Genomic DNA, 25696 nt, shown 5'->3' with positions numbered 1-25696 from the left:
TTTAGTGCTATAAATTTCCCTCTACACACTGCTTTGAATGTGTCCCAGAGATTCTGGTATGTTGTGTCTTTGTTCTCGTTGGTTTCAAAGAACATCTTTATTTCTGCCTTCATTTCGTTATGTACCCAGTAGTCATTCAGGAGCAGGTTGTTCAGTTTCCATGTAGTTGAGTGTTTTTGACTGAGTTTCTTAATCCTGAGTTCTAGTTTGATTGCACTGTGGTCTGAGAGGCAGTTTGTTATAATTTCAGTTCTTTTACATTTGCTGAGGAGTGCTTTACTTCCAAGTATGTGGTCAGTTTTGGAATAGGTGTGGTGTGGTGCTGAAAAGAATGTATATTCTGTTGATTTGGGGTGGAGAGTTCTGTAGATGTCTATTAGGTCTGCTTGGTGCAGAGCTGAGTTCAATTCCTGGATATCGTTGTTAACTTTCTGTCTCGTTGATCTGTCTAATGTTGACAGTGGGATGTTAAATTCTCTTGAGTTTCACTTCTTTTCTGTGACCTCTTGTGCACATAAGTGTTAATACAAATTATGTTCTTTCCTCCTGTTAATCTGTGTTTTGTTAGTTTAATTTGCAGATCCTCAGGAACTAAACCTAAGAGGACAGAGGAAAAGATTTTTCTCTCTGAAAATAGGAGGTCCCTAAAGAGGTGGGAAGGGGGCTGGGCTCGGTTGCTCACACCTGTAATCCCAGCACTTTGGGAGGCTGAGGTTGGGAGTTCGTGAGCAGCCTGACCAACATGGAGAAACCCCGTCTCTACTAAAAATACAAAATTAGCCGGGTGTGGTAGCGCATGCCTGTAATCTAACCCCAGCTACTCGGGAGGCTGAAGCAGGAGAATTGCTTGAACCTAGGAAGCAGAGGTTGTGTTGAGCCTAGATCACACCATTGCACTCCAGCCTAGGCAACAAGAGCAAAACTCTGTCTCAAAAGAAAAAAAAAAAAAAGAGGTGGGAAGCGATGGAGTTAAGGGAAATACTTGACAAAATGTGCAACATTGCATCCTCTGAGACAAGAGAAAAGTTGCTCTGGATGAATATTAATATAGCTATTTACAGGGACAATACCGGGGAGCTGAAGGAGGTTATGCCTAATGGGCCCTCATTTCCTTGATGAAGTAAGAGACAGTCTGAGTGAGACCCCACTCTTTTTCATTGTCCATGAACCAACTGAGCCAGAAGGGCTGGGCTTTTTGTTTCCTCCCTGTCAGATCCTGAATGACACCTCTCTAAGCATCAATAAGTCCCAAGAGTCCTGGTACTTTATCTATTAATTGAGAGTAAAAGAATCTTAGAAACTCCTTTACAACAACAACAAAAAATCTAATTTTCAAGACTTGCTATATATTATACTTTGAGACCCAGTGATCCTTTTCCTTTTTCCTTTACCTCCACTCTCTTCCTCTAAGATTAATTCTTTACTAAATGGGTCTTTATTCCTTTAAGTAAATAGAGTCCTGCCAGCCTCCTCTACCAGCTGTGTAGATATGTCCAGACTTGCCTAAATCCCAGGGCAGAAAAAAGCAAAAAAGTTCAGCTTTAAGCTGCATCTCCTACTGTGCAAAAAGAAGTGTGGATCCATTCAGTAAGAAATGAGTCAAAAAATGTAAATGCCCAAGAGACTATAAAATAGGTGAGGAATATGAAACAGCAAATGAGAAACCATACAATGTATGCAGCATTCATTTTTACCTGACTGAGAAGAATCATGAGTAATGAAAACATCAAAAACCAGGAAAGTAGTCTCTATTTTCCCCCCAAATGCAACGATCATTTTATGGCAGGTCTTATAGTCTAACCCTACTATTTTCAAATGGGCAAAGAAAATTTAGTTTCACTTTCCACCTCTGATTAATCTCTAGGGACCAGTTTTTGTCCAATCTAGTAAACTTGGTCCAATTCAAAAATTCAGATGTCTTTAGAAAACTGAGTCTCTGTATAATTCTTGGTCTTCACATTTTCTCCCCTGTCTTTTGCTTCTCTCTAAGAGAGCACATGGCTACAGAGGGTGATTTTGGTGTATAATCTCATGATGGGTTAGAGGAGAGAGGCAGAGGCCTTGGATCCATACAATCTCTTCTAGATCACTGCTTCTGAAACTTAAATGTGACATGAATTAAATGTTCATCTTGTCAGAGTGCAGATTCTGATTCAGTAGTTCCAGGATGGTGCCCAAGATTCTTCATATCTAACAAGATCAAGTGATGCTGATGCTGCTGGTCCTTGCACATACTTCAAGGAGTGAGGATACAGGTCCTGGCAGGTCTTTGCTACATGTCCGAGCTGTTTAGCTTCTAGGCTGCTGACCACTGAGGTATGACTTGTCCCATTAGACCTGCTGAGGTGATGTACTGGCCCTTACTGCTAACATCCATGGTCTCAGCCACCTTCCCTTAGTTACAAAATCTTTGTGCATGAGAGGCTTTTTGATTCTATATAGTTCTGGCATTCTGTGCACCTACTCACAAGGACATGGGAGAATACCTGGGTTACCTGAATGTTAAGCAAGGCATAGGAGCATAGAGTGAAGCCTCATACTGACCTCTAAAGCTCCCTTCCACCGCTTTTTTGCCATATACTGGACCATCTTAAAGAGGTCTCGTGTAGGACTCCTTCAGACTTAACGCTTACTCCATCCATCTCTAATGCCCATCATTTTCTCATGGCTCTGTGGATATTTCTGAGATTTCATATCAGAGGGAATCTTTAAGAAGGGAAAACTGAGGATCATAAAGTGCTTCCTGCTAGCTCTACCTCTGTCTCTTTTCTTGCTGCAGCCTACCTGAGTGAGAAGGGATGGGCTTTTGTTTCCTTTCTGCCATATCCTGAGTTATGCCTCCCTACTATGGACTGCATGTTTGTGTTTTCCCAGAATTAATATTCCAAAGCCTTAATCCCCAATGTGGTGGTATTTGGAGGTAAGCCTTTGGGAGATAATTAGATCTAGATGAATGTGAAGCACGCATGATGGGATTGGTGTCCTTATAAGAAGAGGAAAAGGGACCAGAGCTCACTCACTCTCTCTCTCTCTGTTTCTCTCTGCCATGTGAGGTTATAACGAGAAAGCAGCTGTCTGTGAACTAGGAGGAGGGCCTTCACCAACAACCCAACCAGGCTGGCATCCTGATCTCAGACTTCCAGCCTTTACAACTGGGAGAAATAAATGTTTGTTGCTAAAACCACCCAGTCTGTGGTATTTTGTTACGAGCTAACCAAGACGCTCTCTCAGAATAATTGAGTCTCACAAGGTCTGGCACTCGATCTGATAATGGGAGTTAAAGAAATTGAAAAACCTGCTTATTAAAAAAAAAAAAAGCCTGATTTTTAAGACTTATTATAGACTTTGATACTCAGTGACTCTTTTTCCTAGGTAGGATCTGTCCTCACTTTGCCTAGAGTAATGAGCCTCACAGCTTAGCCATGAAGTTGAAAGACTGCAAGGGAACGTGATTTAGGGAGGAAATAAAACTACATTGGTTTACTATGTCAAATATGTTATATCTGTAACCATACTCACACTATATCTCAGAAGTGTTAGTTCATGTAACCAATTTCTTCCTTTCTAATGTAATTGTAATATAGTGATTACCTCTTATTCCTGCCTTCTCACTCTGAAAATATGGCTCTTTCTGGAGGTCTCCAGAATAATATTCATCGATATGTGATACTGGTAGTAAAAGTGTGAAAATTCCAGAGACTTAGGCAAATGACTCAATATCCTCTTCCAGAATGAGCCTTTATTAAATACAAAGAACACTCACTCTGCCTGGGCTAATCCTGTGGACCTAAACTTAACTGCTTACTGGTGCTTCGGTTATTGATGTTTATGATGATCATGATGAGGAGGAGGATAAGGAGTTTTCTGCTGTTAAAAGCTTTACCCATTAAAAAAATATCTGATTACTGATTATCTAGGCCCTTTGATTTCTGTCAGGGCAGGATTCATCTGTTGTAAGGTGTAGGCATAAGGCTTTTCTCCTTGTCTAAAATGTCCTTTTTCCATTTGCCTGCCTTGAAAATTCTTACTCAGTCTTGTAAACTAAAAATAAAATCCCAAGCCTCCCAACTGACTGAATGGACACCATCATACCATCTTGGCCAGAGGGAACCCAGAGAAGCCTTAAAAACTGAATTCCTGGCCATGACAGGACAGGAGGTGAGACACGTCTCATTATACCCCTTCCCTTTTTGCAGTTTAGACACAACCAACCAGCATTAATGTTAAAGTAGCCGGAACAGACTCTTTGTGACAATAAAATACCAAATTATAAACAGGGCCTAAGGCTGTGCCAGGCAAGGGTTACTTAAGTCCTGCACCCTACCCTTAAAGAATGAACTATGCTCTAACTTCTACAAGGTTTTTCTTGTTCTGTGGCAGCCCAGCAAGCACGGGGCCTCAAGGTAAGCAATGTTCAAACAATTGCAGCTCAGTCACATTCAATTCACTGCCACCATTGCCTACTGACTAACTGACCAACACCACCTCAGTCCCCCCTCCCACCCCGCCTGTTCCACAAGCCATAACCACAGCTTTGGCTAGATAAGAGACTTATCTCAGTAGCTTTCTCCTGTTAAGAAGAACACCAACCACAGACTAGTTCTGGCCAGTTTTAGAGAGTCTGCACACTTGATTATCTTCATGTCCCAGCTTCAGCCTTTGACATCTAGGGCCTAATTGTAGATACTACAATATTAAGTCTCCACCAACACAATGAACATGGGTCGTATGTTACATGTGTGTGTAGTGAATACACATGCTTTAGGACCACTTTCATGAATATTTATAGTTCCTCTTGTAACCTGCTGAATATGTATAATTAGCCAAACCCATTTCATCATAAAGCTCCTGCCCCAACCCCTCCTCCTTTGACCTCCTTTGAAGTATCTGTCTTCTGGTCTTTGCCAAAGGCTATACTTCCCAGCCTGCAGGAGAACCATATTTACAGGCTGTAACCCTTATAAGAAATAAAGTCTCTTCTCCAGATTTATAGATCTCATGATTTTTTTAGTTAACAGTATTTGAAACCCAGTTGCAATGCTGCCTACTGTGTACAGCATCCCCTGAGTCCTCCCCTACACCCAGGAAGTCTTAAACTCCCTTTGTGCCATCATTATATCTTGTAAACATCTCTATTATCACATCTTTCATAGTGAATCATGAGTATTTGCCACCATGCCTGTCTCCCTTACAAAATTCTCTGTATCATTCACACCAGTTCACATCTGGCACATGACAGGTGATCAATAATGTTTGTTGCCTGCACGACTGGCTAAATGAATAAATTAGTGGGTCTCAAGTGCCAGTGTCAAGGTCCCACAGCTAGGAAAAAAGAATGCTGAAATTCAGCATTGGATTGTGACCACAAGGCCAACTTTTGCTCTGCACTATGCTGCTTTGCACTTTTGTGATTTAAATTGAGTTTGTTGTCTACCTGTGATATATGGGCATGAACTTCCACGAGCCTTATGTGTTTTTCCATTCCTTTCTCTCCTCCTCACTCTTCCATTGATGAAGAGCATATTTCCCAAAATTGTCAGTGGAACTGGGTTTTAGGGTAAGTGTTAGTAAGAGAATAGAGTAGATTATCACCAGACAAGCCCTAAACAATAAAGATCATGATAGAACTACTTTCCTTGAAGTCTTCCTGTAAGAATTGCTTGCATTTCTTAGGTGTTTCTTAAGTGCTTGACATAGTAGTAAGTTATTTGCATACTTTGTTTCATTTAATTATAACAATTATCCTTTAAAATAAGTCTTACTAGTATGCCTTATTTCACAAATGAGCAACTGAGACTCATAAGAGATAATGTTAATTTCCCAAGGCCTGATGGTTTTAGTAGAAGAAGAACTGGGACTCAGGCCTGCCTGATGCCAAAATCAACTCCCCAAGATAATGGAGTCCACCAATAATAGGCGAGTAGGGAAGAGGGAGGGGAAATTAATTATAAATTAACATTTATTTGGAGTAGTAGATATCTGTCAGGCTTTGTGATAACCCAGTATTTTTTACTATCTTTCCTATATTTGGGTAATTTTCCGCAGTGAAAAATTCACATCCCAAAGGTGGAAGCCAGTTACTTGTTCTTGGGTAAAAAGTGAAAATGCCATTTATCACACACATCAGAACTGGCTAAATGAATAAATAAATAGAGCTCATAAAGATAGAAGCAGTAGCAGTTGTGCAGGGCCCTGTAATCCATTGCATTCTAGGGCAGAGCACAGAGGCTTAACAGGGCCAGACAGCAGACTCCTAGAGACAGACTGCAACCTTGGGCCATGGCACTTTTATGAACTACATGATTAGCAATGGCCCCTCCCCTCAAGTAGTGAAGGTTCAGGGTACAATAGTCATATAACATGTGATATGGTTTGGCTGTGTCCCCACACACATCTCATCTTGAATTGTATTAAGATGATTAATAGTTCCCATAATCCCCATGTGTTGTGGGAGTGACCTGGTGGGAGGTAATCGAATCATGGGGGCAGTTACTTTAATGCTCTTCCTGTGATAATGAGTGAATTCTGATGGTTTTATAAGGGGCTTTTCCCCCTTTTGCTTATTCTCCTTGCTGCCATCATGTGAAGAAGGACATGTTTACTTTCTCTTCTGCCATGATTGTAAGTTTCCTAAGGCCTCCCCAGCCATGCTGAACTGTGAGTCAATTAAACCTCTTTCTTTATAAATTACCAAGTCTTGGATATTTCTTTATTAGCAGCATGAGAATGAACTAATACTACATGGTAGAACATTGGCTCTCTTTGTGACATTGTTATATCTTATAAACATCTCTATTATCACTGCCCCAAGCTTTCATGATGTGAGGGTAACTGGCCTTCTCCTGGTATAAGGAAGAAGCTGAGGACCAAGGCTTGCTATTATAGTTGTATAACATAGCAAGACTTTGGCTTGAGCCCCAGCACCTCAATCTGCATTCAAGACTCAGGAAGTACCAGCCCTTCTCCTGGGATCCAAGACTCATGTTGGCCAGAATTGAGTGCCTTAATCCTGGGCTATAGCCAGTTTCCATCCAGTTGCAAAGGAGCAGCTCATTTTCTAAAAGGCAGCCTGCAGAGAGTCAGTCTTTGACAAGTTTCCAAGGGGGCAATTTCCCCTTTCTCTCTTACTTTCCCAGTCTCCCTTGCGGCAAGAGCATAGGTGTGTGACTTAGGCTTTACCAGTCAGACACATCCATGAGACTTTGACTTAGAAGACAGCAGGGTGAGAACACAACAGCATGAACTTTATTTTCATGTGAGGCTGATACAGAGGACTCTGGTTTCTGGGAATGACAGTGGTGGCAACTCTGGAGTCAGGGAGCAGCATTAGCGGTGCCTGTTGTGGTGTCTGTGCCTAGTGGTAGCTGCAGCAGGCTTGCTGCTAGGACAGACCCATAGTATAGTTTGGATATTGTTTCTGTTCATATGCTCACCAGGCTGATTTGGCCTCCTCTGAGCCACCTAATAACCTGGAATAAACTTATCATATGCTTCAACCAGCTGAAGTAGATTCTCTTGTTTATAACTTAGAAGTTGAGTAATAATTGGTCACCTGTTTTGTGCCCAGCATTGTCCTAGACATTGTCCTATTCTTTTTTTTTTTTTTTTTTTTTTTGAGATGGAGTCTTGCTCTGTCACCCAGGCTGGAGTACAGTGGCACGATCTCAGCTCACGGCAAGCTCCACCTCCTGGGTTCACGCCATTCTCCTGCCTTAGCCTCCCGAGTAGCTGGGACTACAGGTGCCCGCCACCACGCCCAGCTAATTTTTTGTATTTTTAGTAGAGATGGAGTTTCTCCATGTTAGCCAGGATGGTCTCAATCTCCTGACCTCGTGATCCACCCGCCTTGGCCTCCCAAAGTGCTGGAATTACAGGCGTGAGCCACCGCGCCAGGCCTATTCTTTATCTCATTGGATTCTCACACAAAACCTGTAAGATGAGTACAGTTTGCACTGCTGAAGAAAAATGTGGTAAGGTAGTGTTATGGGATGAAGCAGCCAAAGTCAACAGAAAAGAGATCATGAGGAGTCTTCTTTGTCCAGTGGTTGAGTTTGGCCTTTGTCCTATTAAGCATGATACACATACCTGGCTGCAGAGCTGTGGGGGCAGCAGCTTCCACAAGGTGCCAGCATCCACAGACCCTTCCACAAGCTGCTTCTTTGCAATCCCAGGGGGCAGCTAGACATGCTAGGCTTCTCAGATCCCCTCACAATCTCTGATTCACTCCAGGCACTAGTGCTTCAGGGAAAGTGGCTACGGATTATTCTATGACCCTCTGATTCCCTCCTCCAGCCAGGCCTTTACTTCTCAACTCTTCCACAATTGTGTAAAATCCAATTCCTCTGCTGTAGTCATGATTTCCAAGATGTGTAATTCTCTTTCCCTGACCGGACTGTGGCTGATACAATCAGCAAAAGGAAAAGTGGGATGGGGAATAACACGCGTGGTAAAAATAAACTGTAGTGCGTAATTCTGTTCAAAGCAGCCTGGAACAATGGAAAAATCTCGAGCTTTGGGTATCGTAAAGATTTGGATTTCAGTCTCAGTTTTGCCCTTTTGTCCCTTGTAGCTGTAGGATGTTCAGTAAATTACCAAACATCTTCAGTTACCTCATTTTAAAATAAGGATCATAATACCTACCTCATGGGGTTATTGACGATAAAATGGGAACGATTTAAAGTGTTGTGAACATAATAGACCCGAATATTAGAACCTTTCTATTTAATAATAAACTTTAAAAAATCAAATATAATGAGGACACATGTTTGTTGCCCATCCTAACTTGGAACTGTTGTTTTATATGGACTTTCAAGGTAAAAATACATATCTTTACAAAATACACTGTTTTAAATAATATTTAAATATATTGACATATACATCTATAATTGTGATTGCTCTGGGTTTGCTTCCTCAAATTGGCTTTTAAAGGATTCTATGTAAGCTGTGCTTCTTTTAGTACATGTCTAAAAGAAAAGTAAACTTTCATAGGCAAGGAATTTTTAAGTTTTGGGAAGATAAAAATTTTATTTTTCACATTTATAAATATGAAAAACAACATGTTGAACTAACATGTACTTGACTGATAACAATATGGGGTCACTGTTTACAAAGGACACATTCCAGCAAGAAAATGAAAGCAAAAAGGTAGATAAGAGTTCATTGTACTCACACGGAAAGGCACATCAGCAACTTTGAAGAGTTCTACCAAGGCCCAGTTTCCCAGTCTATAGTCCCAATGACGACTGGACTCTTTGGACCCCAATTTCTTCATCAATTACTATGAAGAAGGCTTGATGTGGACTCCTCCAAGTTCTATCAGTGTAGGTCCATGAATGTGAGCTCTGTTGGCAATACATTTCATTTACTCAGTCCAACTCCTACTCGCCAAATGAGAAAAGTGGATGGTAATTAGATTTTTCCCAACTCTTAAATTAGACACTTTAAAAGAATAATCATAACATGACATGCATAACAAGACATTTTACTGAATGTTTTATATTCAGTATATAATTTAATCCTCACAAATCAATGATATAAAATTAATGTTGTTCCCCTTTTATAGACAAAGAAATAGAGGCACAGCAAAGCTAAGTAACACCTGTAATGCCATCCAGTTAAGAAGATGGACAAAGTCTTCACCATAATGCTGTGAAGGATATTGGCTCTGAGAGTCAGACTGACCTGGTTCAAATCCTGACTCTACCATGTAGTACCTTTGTGGTTTGGGGCCAAATTACCTAACTGCTCCAATGCTCCATTTTTGTTATCTGTTAGATGGTGATGATACCAGTTGTACTTTCCTCCAAGGGTTGCTGTGAAAATTAAATGAAATAATTAGTTTAGTGTTCAATAACTGTTATGTATGCTGGAGATGATAATGATTTAACTTGTCTCCCAAAGAGTGTTCTTTTAACAATGCCTAGTGTCTTGAGCAAATTGGCATTTCAAAGCTCAAGCACTGTACACCAGTGTTGTTAGACAAATGTTCATCTGTTTAACTGGAAAGACCAGTGCCACATACCTGACTAAGCTGTTTCACATTTCATATGTACTCACAAAGTAAAAAACATTGGCTCTTTTCAACAGATTGCTGTACATCCTATTTACATGTTTCCCACCACCCACAGGAACACACTTGGCAATCCAGAAGTTTTTCAACATGCTAATTAATGCAGATAATTCATCTTGCCTTCCGAGCAAAACGTTAAACAGGCATGAAAGGAAAGGAGCTGCTCATTGTCCAGGAGGGCGGAAGTAGAGTCCTCCAAGGAGGCATCACTGCCTCCTCGATCCAGTCCAGCAAGGCATCCCAGAGGCAAGGGGACCTGCTGTGGCTTCCCACGACCCTGCCGTCACACTGAGGCACCTTGTGTCCCTGAGCAGAGTTACATGCTCCAAGACTCCCTGGAGCACGTGCAGCTGTTTGACCTGATGAGGAGGATGTTAGAATTTGACCCTGCCCGGCGCATCACACTGGCCGAGGCCCTGCTGCACCCCTTCTTTGCTGGCCTGACCCCTGAGGAGCGGTCCTTCCACACCAGCTGCAACCCAAGCAGATGACAGGCACAGGCCACCGCATGAGGAGATGGAGGGTGGGACTGGGCCGCCCAGCCCCTTGACTCCAGCCTCGACCACCAGGCCCCAGGCTAGAGCCACCCAATGAACAGTGCAATGTGAAGGAAGGCAGGAGCCTGCAGGGGAGCAGACTTGGTGCCCGGCTGCCAGAAAGCACAGATTTGACCCAAGCTATTTATATATTGTAAAGTTATAATAAAGTGTTTCTTACTGTTTGTAAAAAAAAAAAAAAAAAGAAAGAAAGAAAGAAAGAAAAGGGCAGGGGAATGTGTTAGATATCACTTTCATCTATTAGAAAATATTTACATCCTTCTGAACTTTCCCCTACTTTACCCTCAGAACTGACAATGCCAGCAGGACTTATTGGACAATATCCCCCAGTGCCTAATGGCAAGAAACATCTTGACAGCTTTGGGCTCTCCGGTGTGCATTAGGTTCAGAAAGGCCCTGAGAAGACAGCAAATGTATTCAGATTTTTATTTGTCTGCAGTTTGATGTAATAGTGTTTTATTTTTGGCCCCCAATTGCTCAGCAAAAGAAAAAAAAAAAAAACAAAATAAACCTTGGTTAAGCTGCTGATTTCCTCTAAATCGCTGAGCACAGGGATTGTAGCTTGATGAAGTCATTTAGTGCTGGTTGTTTATATTCAAACCGTGCCAGTGGCTCTTGCTGGAGTTTTTCATGAGGAATGTGATGATGTTTACTTCTTTATAGAGTTAAAATAACTATGAATTTACCAGTACTAACTTGCAAGGGATTTTCAAACTTTTATTTTGTCTTGAAAGCTTTGAAATATACAATTTCATTTAGGTTGTCGGGGAAGAAAATGTCACAAAGAGAAATCATGTAAGCTTTGACAAAATAAAATTTGTTGCAACTTCTCCAAATATTTCTAAGTTCGGTGGTCATCAGGCTGCTTGAAGGTAGCATTCTTAGGCCATTCCTCAAAGAGTATTATGGAAGTCCATTTGGATAGGAAAATTCATGATTGTGGTATCAAAAATAAATGGAGAGAAGAAAGTAAGGGATGAGAGAACTTGTATAATAAATATACCTTGTCCCATTTTTTCTTTTTCTATTGTCTTTTCTGTTTTCTCTCTTCTCCCATCCTGGAAGAGAAAAGGATATGCTGAGAAAGTAGGCTGTGCTTACTCAAAATTAGAAAAAAAATTGAATTAGGAAAGTTGTTGGCTCTCCAGGCATCCATTCAATAAACATATATTTGTTGAATACCTGTAAAATGCTAGACATTATGCTAGAGATAAAAAAAAACAAAATTGGCCGTTTCATCAATTCAGTCATTCATGTAATGAATGTTACCAATTTGCCAATGTTTGATTCAGGAAAACTGAAAATAAACAATGATAACATATGGATGAATATATAAACGTATTCAAAATGCTGGGGGAGCAAAAAATCGAGGAAATATCTAAGACAGCCTATAGCATGTGTCTCAGAGGCTGACTTTCAGAGGCCCTCAGGCCACCTCAGGACACACAGAAAAACTATCTTTGGCACTCTGCCTCCTCTCCTTGGCTGCCAAGGTGCTCAAGAAGCAGTGTGAGATGACGGAAAGGTTCTAGTCTCTGGACCACATAGCCCTGAGTCCACATCCCTTCTGTGCCAGACTGCTAATTGTCTTTCAACATCCCTTTTCCCCTTCTTCCTCAAAAACATAAATCCTGAATTTAGCTGGACACGTAGCCACCCAGAATAGATTATGTTTATCAGTCTCTCTTGCAGCTGGGCAAGTCTTTGAGATATAGCTCGGATCGATGGTTGCAAGTAGAAGTAGTGTTTGTCACTTCCAAGAAGTGTCCTTAAGAGAAGTGGAAATTCTCTTCTCCCTTTGTTTCCTCCTACTAGAGAGTAGGTGGTGACCCACTGCAGCCATCTTGGACCATCAGACAGAACCCCTGTGTGGCGGATGGCAGAGAAACATGAGGTGCAATTTGACAATTGGGAAGCCTGACCCTAACCCTGTGTGGCGTGAGAGAGGAAAATACAACTCACATTTTGTTTTAGCCAATCTTGTGTTCCTGTCACTTGCAGTCAAAGCTAATTCTAACTAATACCAACAATGAGACCTTCAGCAAATACAACCTTAAACCCTCTGAGACTCAGTTTCCTCCTATATATAAAAATGAGGACAATAACATATATTTTTATAATTGTTGAAAGGACTGAATTATAAGAATAAATACATTTAATTCACCTGGAATAATGCCAGATATCCAGTAGTATTAACAGTAGCTACTATTATAATAATGTTTTCTGCCTATTCAAAATTCCTGCTCCATGAGTGTCTCCAAAACTTTAATAGAATAAAAACTCCTATTCCCCAACAGTTGCACCAATAGGGAGGTACTGATCTGATCCAAGATGTGTGGTGTTGAGGCCTAGCCTTCCCAGGAACTATATGGAACATGGCTGTTTTCCAGATATGGTTCAGCCTTGGGAAAGAAATGCATGGATTGATGGGGAATGGAGAGGCTCCTTGCTAGAGAGCAAGGCTAGCAGAATTGACTCTGATGATGGGCAGGGAAGCTAATATGATAGTAAAAGCAATCTCATATCTTTCAAGTTATCCTACCCTAAGATAATACTCCCTGCCCTACTTGCTTCTCTGCCCGCCACTCAAAATACCATTCATAGAGACTTTCTTACATGCTGGACCAAAATGGGAGCAAAATGGGAACATTATTAAAGACGAAGTTCTCTTTGGTGGAATGTGTTTGGGGAAACCATGGAGAGGATTTTTCTCTAGATAGGGGCTACATGTTTTCTTCCCCTCTAGAGGAAACAAAACCTCCCCCTTGTTTTGCCTGGTCACTTGTCCCTCTCATGATCTAAGGGGACTTGGGCAGCCTGTTAGACAAATGAGGCAGATTTTCAGCCCTTGGAGAAGCACCTGGGTGGGTACAGTTTTATTGACAGCCAGACTGGGTTCTAACCCCTGATGTGCCACTTACCATCTGTGTGACCTTGGGCCAAAATTCACTCTTGTTCTCGCCAAGCTTCAGTTCCTCCATGCGTAAATACAAAAACAAACCAAAAATTTTTCTAGGCATGAAAAAAAAAACAACAGTTGATCCAGTGAATTAAGTGGATAATAATGAACATTAGAAACGAACTGGACATTAGCCCCTTGGTAATCACTTAGGTGGATTTCTCTAGTCCTTAGGTCACTCTTAACAGTAAAAGTTAAGGGTCTGTTTTGAGGATGTGTGGACAGTGGATATTCAATTACATTTGTTGGTTGAATCAGGCAGGCAGTCAGCAAACATTTATAGAGCACTTGTGAGGCATCAGGCTTTGCTCTAGGCACTAAGAATATTGTGAAGAACAAGAGAGACAAAGAACCAAACTCTAGAAGCTCATTTTCTGGTGGGAGAGAGGGATAAAACAGACACAAAACACTGAAATAAAGTAATTTTGTGTAGTGATAAATATTATAGAAAAATAACAAAATAGGATGTGATAGGAACTGCCTTGGGATGAGAGCAGGGGACAGACACTACTTTACATGGGATGGTCAGGGAAGGTAACTGAGAAAGCAGGTTGTTTAGTAGAATGTGAACTATGAGAAAGAGGCAGCTCTTCAAAGATTATAGGGAAAAACATTCTAAACGGAAGAAAAAGCAAGTGCAAAGACCCTGAAGTACAACTAGTTAGTCATAAGGGAGGGACAAAAAGAAGGCCCATGTTGGCATAGAGTGACAAACGAAGAGAAAAAGGGAAGGGAGGGAACTCAATCTGAAGAGGTGAGCTGAGTTGAAGATGTAGAAATGAGTTTGAAAAAGGCAGCTTATTTATTATCTGGTTATATAGTTTGGATGTTTGTCCCTCCAAATCTCATATTAAAATTTGATCCCCAATATTGGAGGTGAGGCCTAATGGGAGGTGTTTGGGTCTTGAGGGCTGATCTCTCATGCATGGTTTAGTGCCATCCTAAGGTAATGAGTGAGTTCTTGCTCTCTTAGTTCAGCTCTCTCAAGAGCTGATTGTTTATTTTTAATTTGTATTGGTTTTTTTAGAGACAGGATCTCGCTCTGTCACCCAGGATGGAGTGCAGTGGCGTGATCATAGCTCACTGCAGCCTTGGACTCTTGGTCTCAAGCGATCTTCCCACCTCAGTCTCTCAAGTCACTGGGATTACAGGCATGAGTCACTATGCCAAGCCCAGAGAGCTGGTAATTTAAAAGAGCATTGCATATCTGCCTCCTCTTCCTCCCTCTCTCACAATGTGACATGCTTTCTCCCCCTTCACCGTCTACCACAAGTGGAAGCTTCCTAAAGCCCTAACCAGAAGCAGATGCTGGTGCCATGCAGAACTGTGAGCCACATAAACCTCTTTCTTTATAAATTACCCAGTCTCAGAGTTTCTTGTATAGCAACACAAAACAGACTAATATATCTGTTTTATATTAGAGAGTGAAGGAAGATTCTAGATTTAATTCTCATTACAATAGGAAGACTTTGAAGGGTTTTAACCAGGACAGTGACATGCTCTGACCTATGCTCTAAAATATTTTCTGTGGCTCCCTCTGCAGAGGCTGGTGTGAACAGGACAAGACTGAAGAAAAGAAGAGACAGGAGGCCACTTTAGTAGTCCAGGTGACAGCTACAGTAATGGAGATGGGCCAACCAGGTAAGATTCAGCACATATTTTGGAAGGAGAGAATAATGGACTTGTAGATGGACTGGATGCATTGTACGTGCAAAGAAGAGAAATCAAAGGTGTTTTACTTAACAAGTGGGGGATATTAGGGTAGGAGATGATCAGAGAAGAAGGTAGGCTTGGGAGAAATCAATCATCCTTTTTTCATATAAGCAAAGTTTGAGATGCTTATCAGACATCCAAGTGGAAAAAAATGTCGAGTGAGCAATTGGATGGATGATTCTGTAGCTAATGAGAAAGGTACTGGAGGAGCCACAGATGTGAGATTTGTCAGAATACAGATACTATTAAAAGCTATGGGATGGTACGTGCCTGTAGTCCCAGCTACTTGGGAGGCTGAGGCGGGAGGATTGCTTGAGTCCAGGAATTCAAGACCAACCTGGCAACATAGTGAGACTCCTGTATCAAAACAGTAAATTAATTTTTAAAAAAGCTATGTGATGGAATGAGATCACACAAGAATGTAGGTATCAAGATAAGAGGACCAAGGAAAGAGCCTTCAGACATTTCAATATTTAGAGGTCAGTAAAGGAGAAGAAGTCATCAGTGAGAAAAACCCAACCAATAAATATGCTGACACACAAAACCAGAGACCTTGTATTTTAATAAGGAAGTAATTAATTGTATCAAATGACATTGAGAAGTCAAGCAGGATGAGGGCAGAAAATTGCCCATTGACATTGGTGAGATTTGGATCACTGGCAACTTGGATATGGTAGGCATCCTCTAAAATAGCCTCCAGTGGTCCTGCCTTCCTAGTATTCATGCCCTTGTGCAATTTCCTTCCCTTCATCATTTACTACATCTATTGACTTGTTTCTAATAGAATATGGCATAAGCAATACAATGTCAGTTCTGAAATTAGGTTATGAGAAGACTGTGGCTTCCCTCTTATTGACTCTTTCTCCAGCATTTGGCTTGGGTGCCAGCATTGAGTAAACAGATATTTAGGTTTAAACTGGGTTGGGATTTTTTAAGGCGATTATGATAGAGAAAGAGACGGGTGTGCAACTTACTGGGGTTTGTAATGGAGAGGTTATATTGGTGGTCCATAAACTCTAAACTAAGTAAGAAGGTAAGTGAAGATATGAACTGTGTGCAAAGAGAAGTATGGATCAAAATATTAGAAATGCAATTTGATGAGGCTTGGTGGAATACCAGAATAACTGAGAAAGGAAGATAAGAGATAGTCGGTAGAAAGAACAATGCTTTAAATAGATATTTCAAAACCGGTATTGATGAAGTAACATCTACAGTACAACCCTAAGTGTAAATGGTCCACGTGGAGCAAAAGAAAAAACTAAAAGTGTAGAATGAATCATTGGCATAGGTGTGGAAGTCATCCAGGATTTTGACAGCCACCATGGTAAAACTGACAGTAAGACAGATGCCAGGGCCATCAATTCATGATTCAGTGTGAGTGGCAAGTTGGTAGAGATAGAAACAAGAAGGGATAAAATGTTAATGGCATAATTTAAGAATCCTGGGTTGAAGGAGGAACGAGGAAAAATGGTTTGGAAGCAGCAATGGGGACCCCATCCCTCACCCCTGAAAAGACAATAGGGGAAGAAGCGTTCTCAGGAGGAAGTTTTGGTGATTGCTAAGCATGAATGGAGGCCTATGGACTGTTTTGGAACTACTAAGGATTAAATTTGTATTTCCTTTCAGGTGATGAGTATCAAGAAAGTCAATCTGAGTATGCTACATCTATATAATAATAATAATAATAATTACAATTTATGGAACACCAACCAAATGCTAAGGATGCTTTTTCCCCTATAATAAACTTGCACTACAGATGAGGAAATGGAGTTCAGGTGGATTATAGACACACCCACTGTACTGGCTTTATACCATGTTTGTTTAGCTAAGCTGAAGCTACAAGTCCCAGAATATCCTTCCCAGTGTAAATCCAGGTTGGGGATGTTCCCAGGAGAACTTTGTGCAGAGATTGGGTGGTAGAAGAGAAGCAGCAGCCAAGGTGCTCTGAAGGTTGATGCACGGTGCCAGGCACCTGCTTATTCAGTGTCTCTACTGTGCTAGCTCACACTGATGGTCTGGGGCCAGGGCTCTCCTCCTCTAGCTTCTCTGACTCGTGAGCCAGGGGTGTGTGTGGCTCCACCAGATTCTCCAGGAGAAGGCTACCAGGTTGTCAGGATACCTGTGTCACAGGGTTAGATTCAGGGAGAAACAGACCAGGTTCCAATTTGTGCTTGTGGATTCCAGATTGTCCTCATGGGTTCCAGTTGTCCTTGTTTTCCTGTCCCATTCTACCCTTCATGTGAAAGGGCATTTGGCATTTCTTCCCAACTGCCTTCTCAGTTGATCTATAGCAACTTCAGGCCACGACTAGACACCGAGGCAGCAGATTCTGTACTTTATCACCTAGAGTGGTTCAGCTTCCCTGACACCCCTAGGATCATACATTAGAAAGCGGTAAAACCAAGATCAGTACCAAAATTTCTCGGAATTAGGTCCTTTGCATTTCTACTCTTCCAGAATCCCTCTTAGGCCTACAAATAAATGGCATATTTAATGAAACACTGCAGAATCAAAAGTTAAAAGCCCACAGATAATAATGTGCCACTAAGATTTAATCACTCTAAATAGGGAAGTCACATTACACATGAGGTTGGGGGTTTTATTATAAATAAAAGAGGAGAAAAAAATGGGTTGCTTGGTGCATACTCTTCAGTCACTTTAGGTTTTATCAATGAACAAAAGGGTCAGAAAATTAGAGAAAGGCAGAAGAAATAAGGGCAAATTTTGGAAAATGGAATGAAAGGAAAGTTATGAGAAGATCGTTCAAGTCATTTGCACCTACTTAGGAATGGACTTAAAAGAAACATCATTCTATTATATAAACATTTTCCAGAAAAATTAAAACATAATGGAGGCATGTTGTTTGTTTACAGGGTGACTAGGTGAACAGCCCACTAAAAGGTTGGAAAGGATACTTTTTAAAAACCAATTATTTCCATAGGTTTTGGGGGAACAGGTGCTATTTGGTTACGTGAATAAGTTCTTTAGTGGTTATTTGTGAGATTTTGGTGTACCCATCAACGAGAAGTAGACACTGAACCCAATTTGTAGGCTTTTGTCCCTCACTCCACTTTCCCCTGAGTCCCCAAAGTCCATTTGCATCCTCATACCTTAGCTCCCACTTATGAGTGAGAACATGCAATGTTTGGTTTTCCATTCCTGAGTTACTTCACTTAATAGTCTCCAGTTCCATCTAGGTTGTTGTGAAAGTCATTAATTCATTCCCTTTTATGGCTGAGTGGTGTCCCATCATATATATGTAATTTCTTTATCCACTCATTTGTTGATGGGCATTTGGGCTGGTTCCATATTTAAGTATATTTTTCGTATAATGACTTCTTTTCCTCTGGGTAGATACCCAGCAATGGGATTGCTGGCTCACATGGTAGTTCCACTTTTAGTTCTTTGAGGAATCTCCACACTGTTTTCCATAGTGGTTGCACTAGTTTACATTCCACCAGCAGTGTTAGAAGTGTTCCCTTTTCACTGCATCCATACCCACATCTATTATTTTTTTATTTTTTTATTACAGCCATTCTTGCAGGAGTAAAGTGGTATTGCATTGTTGTTTTGATTTGCATTTCCATGATCATTAGTGATGTTGAGCATTTTTTCATATGTTTGTTGTCCATTTGCATATCTTCTTTTGAGAATTGCCCATTCATCTGTACAGCAAAAGACACTATCAACAGAGTGAACAGAACACCTACAGAATGGGAGAAAATATCTGCAAATTATGCATCCAACAAAGGTCTAATATCCAGAATCTACAAGGAACTTAAGCAAATTTACAAGCAAAAGGCAACCCCATTAAAAAGTGGGGAAAGGACATGAACAAACACTTTTTAAAAATTTTAAGTTCCAGGGTACATGTGCAGAATGTGCAGGTTTGCTATATAGATAAACGTGTGCCATAGTGATTTGCTGCACCTATCAACTCATCACCTAGGTATTAAGCGCAGCACGCATCAGCTATTTTTCCTGATTCTCTCCCTTCCCCTGTCCCCTTACAGGCCCTAGTGTGTGTTGTTTTCCTCCCTGTGTCCATGTGTTCTCGTCGTTCAGCTCCCACTTATAAGTGAGAACATGTGGTGTTTTGTTTTCTGTTCCTGCGTTAGTTTGCTGAGTATAATGGCTGCCAGCTCTATCCATGTCCCTGCAAAGGACATGGTCTCATTCCTTTTTATGGCTGCATAGTATTCCATGGTGTATATGTACCACATTTTATTCATCTAGTCTATCATTGATTGGCATTTTGGTTGATTCCCTGTCTTTACTATTGTGAATAGTGCTGCAATGAACATACATGTGCATGCATCTTTATAATAGAATGATTTATATTCCTTTGGGTATATACCCAGTAATGGGATTGCTGGGTCAAATGGTATTTCTGGTTCTAAATCTTTAAGGAATCACCACACTGTCTTCCACAGTGAACTAATTTACATTCCCACCAATGGTGTAAAAGCGTTCCTATTTCTCTACAACCTTACCAGCATCTGTTGTTTCTTGACTTTTTAATAATTGCCATTCTAGCTGGCATGAGATGGTATCTCGTTGTGGTTTTGATTTGCATTTCTCTAATGATCAGCGGTGTTGAGCTTTTTTTCATATGTTTGTTTGCCATATAAATGTCTTCTTTTGAGAAGTGGAACAGACACTTTTCAAAAGAAGACATACCCACAGCCAATAAGCCTATAAAAAAATGCTCAATCATTAGAGAAATGCAAATCAAAACTACAGTGAAATACCATCTCACACTAGTCAGAAAGGCTATGATTAAAAAGTCAAAAAATCATAGATGCTGGAGAGGTTGTGGAGAAAAGAGAATGCTTATACACTGCTGGTGGGAGCGTAAATTAGTTCAGCCATTGTGAAAAGCAGTGTGGCGACTTCTCAAATAATTTAAAACAGAATTGCCATTCGACCCAGCAATCGTATTATTAGGTCTATACCAAAAGGAATATAAATCATTTTACCATAATGACACATGCACACATATGTTCCTCGCAGCACTATTCACAATAGTAAAGACATGGAATCAACCTAAATGCCCATCAATGGTAGACTGGCTGAAGAGAATGTGGTACAAATACACCATAGAATACTATGCAGTCATAAAAAAGAATGAGATTGTGTCCTTTACGGCAACATGGATGGGCTGCAGGACATCATCTTTAGCAAAGTGACACAGGAGCAGAAAACCAAGTACCACATGTTCTCACTTATAAATGGAACCGAAACAATGAGAACACGTGGGTAGATACAGGGGAATAATACATACTGGGGCCTAATTGAGAGTACAGGGTGGGAGGAGGGAGAGGCACAGAAATAATACCTATCGGGTACTATGCTACCTGGGTGATGAAATTATCTGTACACCAAACCCCCATGACACACAGTTTACCTGTATAACCAACCCTGTACATGTACCCCTGAACCTAAAATAGAAGTCTTAAAAAATTATCCTCAATCATAATTAAGTGCTTAGTTACCACTACACCACATACAAGCTGCACAACTCTGAGCTTGTTTCCTCATCTATAAAATGGGGAGAGGATAAGAACGAACTTTCATAGAGTTTCTGTGAGGACCAACAGACATTGTATGTGAACATGTTTTATAAGTTGTAAGTTCTCTATACATTAAAGCATCATCATCCACCTGAAACAACCATGATTCCATGTGAACATCTAGTGTTTCTCTCTACTCAGGCCCCTGCCTACCTTCTTCCAGTAATAGCATAGCTCCCCTTCCTTTGAAGAACTGTTCTTCCTTACTATAATGGAAGTGCCTCCCCACCTAAACACGTTAGCATGCATCTGGCCACAGTGATGGGTCAGGAAGGGCATGACAGTTAAACGGGTCCAGTGAGAGTTCTTCTTGAGGAACTTTTTTCTTTTCTTGCCAAGATCTATAAGGATATGTCCCCAGCGACACTGTTGGCCACATACACTGCCATATGGAGACACTCACAAGGATAAAGCTGACATGCAGAAGGAATGAGAATTGAGAGACAGCATCCTGAAAAAATTCTAGTCCTCCTGTATGGCCAGTCCCATCCAACCTTGTCCACTCTGTAAGAATACAGATGCTCCTCAACTTACCGTGTGGTTTTATCCCAATAAATCCATCGTAAGTTGAAAAAATCCTAAGTCAAAAATGTATTTAATACCCCTAACCTACTGAACGTCATAGCTTAGTCTAACCTACCTTAAACATGCTCAGGGTACTTACATTAGCCTACTGTTGGGCAAAATCATCTAACACAAAGCCTATTTTATATTAAAGTGTTGAACATCTCATGTAATTTATTGAATACTGTACTGAAAGTGAAAACAATGGTTGTATAGATACTCAAAACATGGTTTTTACTAAATGCATATCACTTTTGCATCATTATAAATTTGAAAAAATCATAAATAGAACCATTGTAAGCCAGGAACCATATGTTTATATATAAGAATATATTTTAGGAATATATATACATATATACATAAGCATAAGAGTTGCACTTTATTCACTTCCAACTAAGTGTCTGGCTAATACAGATTTCACAATGAAAAACTTTCAAATTTAAAAATGTGTAGAGTAGGAGAACTTGCTCATAGTTTCCTTTTTCAACTATACAACAGTGTTCAGAAGAGTGAAAACACAAAACCCAGATATAGAACCAGGATGGTGTACACAGAATGAGACGCTGTCATCCAGTAATCATCAAGCAGCAGTATTGATTAGCAGGCATTTTGTAGGATGTGATGGAGGAAACAAACTTCTTTAGGAATAGGGCTCATAAACACTGAATTTCTTAAAAATTAATTGTATAGTTTTGGTTTAGCTATTATAAACTAATACACATTGTTATAAAATCCTAAGTAAAAAGATCATTATAGATGAATTTCTAGACTGGATGCATTGACCCTGTTGTGAGGGATAATTAGTGTATGTCATATATTTAGAATGAGGCACAAAAAGTAGGCATATCAACCATTCGTCCTATTATTATCACATGAGTATAGTTGATATTTAAAGCCATTGTACTCGATGAGATCACTTCAGTCTAGCAGGAGATAAGGGTCAAAGACTGAGACCTGAGATGACTTTTTCCAGAATAAGTAGCACCTTTTACAGGGTAGACCTTTAATAAGGCCAATTTCTGTCTATATATGGTACATATTAGAACAGTGATAGAGTCGGAGGAGCCTTAGAGATACATCTAAAACAGTGTAGAGTTGGGAGGCCAAGGTGGGCGGATCACGAGGTCAGGAGATCAAGACCATCCTGGCTAACACAGTGAAACCCCGACTCTACTAAAAATACAAAAAATTCGCCAGGCATGGTGGCGGGCACCTGTAGTCCCAGCTACTCAGGAGGCCGAGGCAGGAGAATGGCTTGAACCCAGGAGGCGGAGCTTGCAGTGAGCCGAGATAGCACCACTGCACTTCAGCCTGGGCGACAGAGCAAGACTCCATCTCAAAAAAAAAAAACAATGTACAGAAACATCATTTTACAGATGAGGAGACTGAGCCCCCAAAATGGTAAATGACTTGAGCAAGTGCACATGGTTTGCAGATAAATTAGGTATAGATTCTTTACTTGTGAAATAATTATTTGCCCTACAAAATGCTACAGTCTGGTTTTTATTTTAATTGCTTACAATACAAATTTCTTATCTCTATTAAATTTGTAAGACTCTGATTTGTACACAATTTAGGAAAGCATTTATTGCACCTGTATGTAATTTCAGTCTAGACATAACAATTATGATACTAGAAGTTTATCATCTTTTCAATGAGTCACCATTGGGATAGATAAAATGGTTTAGATTGGCACATCGCAATATCTAAGAAATAGAGACATTTGCCTGGTGCAAACATGATATTCCTAATTAATGTTCTAGCAGTTCTTAAGGCAGTAGACAAAATCCTGGTTGCTATAACTCTTGTGTTAGGTAATTTTTAATCATTTGATATTCTAAGTCACAAATGTTTAATCAAATATTTGTAATAAATAGAGATCTAACGCACAGCATGAAGGCTACCGTCCATAAAATTATGCCGTATTTGGGATTTCTGCTAAAAAAATGTTTAGTCAGATTCTCTTACAGTGCAATTATTTTCATCAGTCTTCCTGCATATTGCTAGGCACTGAGAGCTCTAAAAGGAATCCTGCATCGGCTGCTTGGTGGAGTAGCCTTTTCACCCAGCAGGGCACAGCTCAGTTTAGGAGATATTAAAAGATGACATTTTTAAATGTTGCTTGCTGCTTGCTTTTATTTGAATCATTGAGCTAAATTCTCTAACCTGTGGGGTGAGTTTTATATATCTTTAGAAAGTGTTTGCCCAGTAAATGACTGGGTGGTGGAAACCTATTCTCTATTTTTTTTTTTTTTTTAACCTGTAGATCCTCAGGAAGCTTTTGCAGAGGGACCAAATCCCCAGAAAGTTAAAGCTGACAGTGGCAGCGCTGAACATTTGCCTAAAGTCAGGACTGTGATTTCCATGCCATTTCTTGTGCCTACTGCTTTTCAGGGAACTAAGGAAAGTGGGTGGGGGGCGTGGAGGGAAAAGTAGTTTTATGAGCTATCAGTCACAAGGAAGAGATCCACACATATCAAGATGACATAGAACCATAGTAATAAAAACCAAAAAAGGGCAAAGAACTGGAACATAAAAATTTCAGAAGGAAAAAAATACAATGCTTAATAAGCAAATAAAGATGCTAACCTTTGGACTGAAAATTAAAACACCAGTATGATACCTTTATTCATGGAGAAAAACTGTCACAACTTAAAAATGCATGTTCGGTATTGGCCAGGGTGTGGTGAGGTGGGCACTTTATCTCTGTTGGCATATCTTGTATTGGTATAATATTTCTAGAAAGCTATTTAACAGCAGCCTCTAAAATATTCATGCTTTAATCCCATTTTTGAGAACTACCCTCTACCCCAAGGAAATAGAGAGAATGGCAAAGATTAATGTATGACAGATTAATATGGTGGTGTTTGAAACGATTAAAAATTATAAACACCATCAATGTGCAAAAGAATAGTTAAATGAATTATGGAATAGGCATAGGTTGAATTATTAAAGTTATTAAAAATGACATTTGTGAAAAAAATTAATAACATGCAGAAATGCTCACTATTTAATACTGTATGAAGAAAGCAGGGGATGGGACAAATATACTCCTGAGTCCATGAAACCAAAATTGCCAACCACTTCCCAAGTTCCATTTTGAGGAAGCCACCCTTAGCAGTTGTTTATGTCTAATGTTGACTTAGCTTGTAATAAGACAGTGGTATTACATGATTTGACATGTGCAAATTTGACTCTGTCTACAGCAAAAAATAAAATGAGAAAAATAACTACTAAAAGAGTACTGGCAATGTTGCCTAACATTCCACTAAATAAGTGTGTACCCCTAAGTTAACGTGAGATAAGGGTTGTGAATTTGCTGTGCCCTCGGACAGTCTCAATCTCTAAGGCGCTGTCATAGTGGGGGTTCCTTACCAAAATAATCAGAATTCTAGTGTATAAAGATACAAGTCTGTAACACTATCCTTTACATATTATGTCTTTTTTGTGCCGTACTTTCCCATCAGAATAGCTCTTGCAAAGGTCCCCTAAAATCTCTATGTAGCCTAAGTCAGTAGATGGTTCTCAGGCTTCATCTTATTTAACCTGTCAACAGCACATGATACTTTTATCTCTGCTTTCTTCTAGATATTTTCAGTTGACTTCTGGGGACACTATTTGCTCTTTCTTCTTATCCTATTCACTCTTAAGTCTCGTCTAGTCTCTTCCCCTCCTCCTACAATCTAAATATTGGAGGATCTCGGGTCTCAGTCTTTGAACTCTGTTTCCTGCTAGACTCAAGTGATCTCACTGAGTATAATGGCTTTAAATATGAACTATACTTATGTGATAATAATAGGACAAATGGTTGATATGCCTACTTTGTGCCTAGTTCTAAGTATATGACATATACTAATCATCCTTCACAACAGCACTAAGATTGTTTCTATTATGATCCTCAACTCAGAAGGAAAAGGGAGGCATAGAGAAGTTAAATTATTTGCCCAGGGCCACAGCTAGTAGAGAAAAGAGCCAAGACTGGAACCTAAGCAATCTGGCTCCAGAGTAGCTGCTTTTAAGCACTACACAACACACCTCCTTGATGACCCCCAAATTATACCTCTACATCCTGCGACTCCTTTGAAGTCAAGATTTGTACATTGAAAATCTTTGGTTTGATCGTTAAGATGAATTTCAAACTTAACATATCCAATCCCCCCAATCTCTTCCTCCTATAGCCTCCTTCAGTAAATGGCCCCTGTCTATGCCAGTTGCTCAAGCCATCCCTGACTTCTCTCTTTCTTTCATTTCCCACACTCAT

The 25696-nt window shown here is 40.2% G+C and overlaps 1 protein-coding gene and 1 pseudogene across 1 annotated transcript in view; both read left to right on the top strand.

Annotated features, from left to right (window-relative positions):
* Positions 1-25696, top strand: part of SLC24A2 (solute carrier family 24 member 2) — an 800438-nt gene that overhangs the window by 401536 nt on the left and 373206 nt on the right. Inside the window, exon 4 of the mRNA XM_017014592.2 lies at positions 15129-15226. The gene's annotated coding sequence lies outside the window, so the exon portion shown is untranslated. The remainder of the gene's footprint in view (positions 1-15128; positions 15227-25696) is intronic.
* On the top strand, positions 10375-10795 carry CLK3P1 (CDC like kinase 3 pseudogene 1; annotated as a pseudogene).

This window comes from Homo sapiens, chromosome 9, assembly GCF_000001405.40.
Source record: "Homo sapiens chromosome 9, GRCh38.p14 Primary Assembly".
Taxonomy (NCBI): Eukaryota; Metazoa; Chordata; class Mammalia; order Primates; family Hominidae; genus Homo; species Homo sapiens.
Note: the sequence above shows the minus strand (reverse complement) of the source record. Positions and strands in the feature narration are given on the sequence as shown.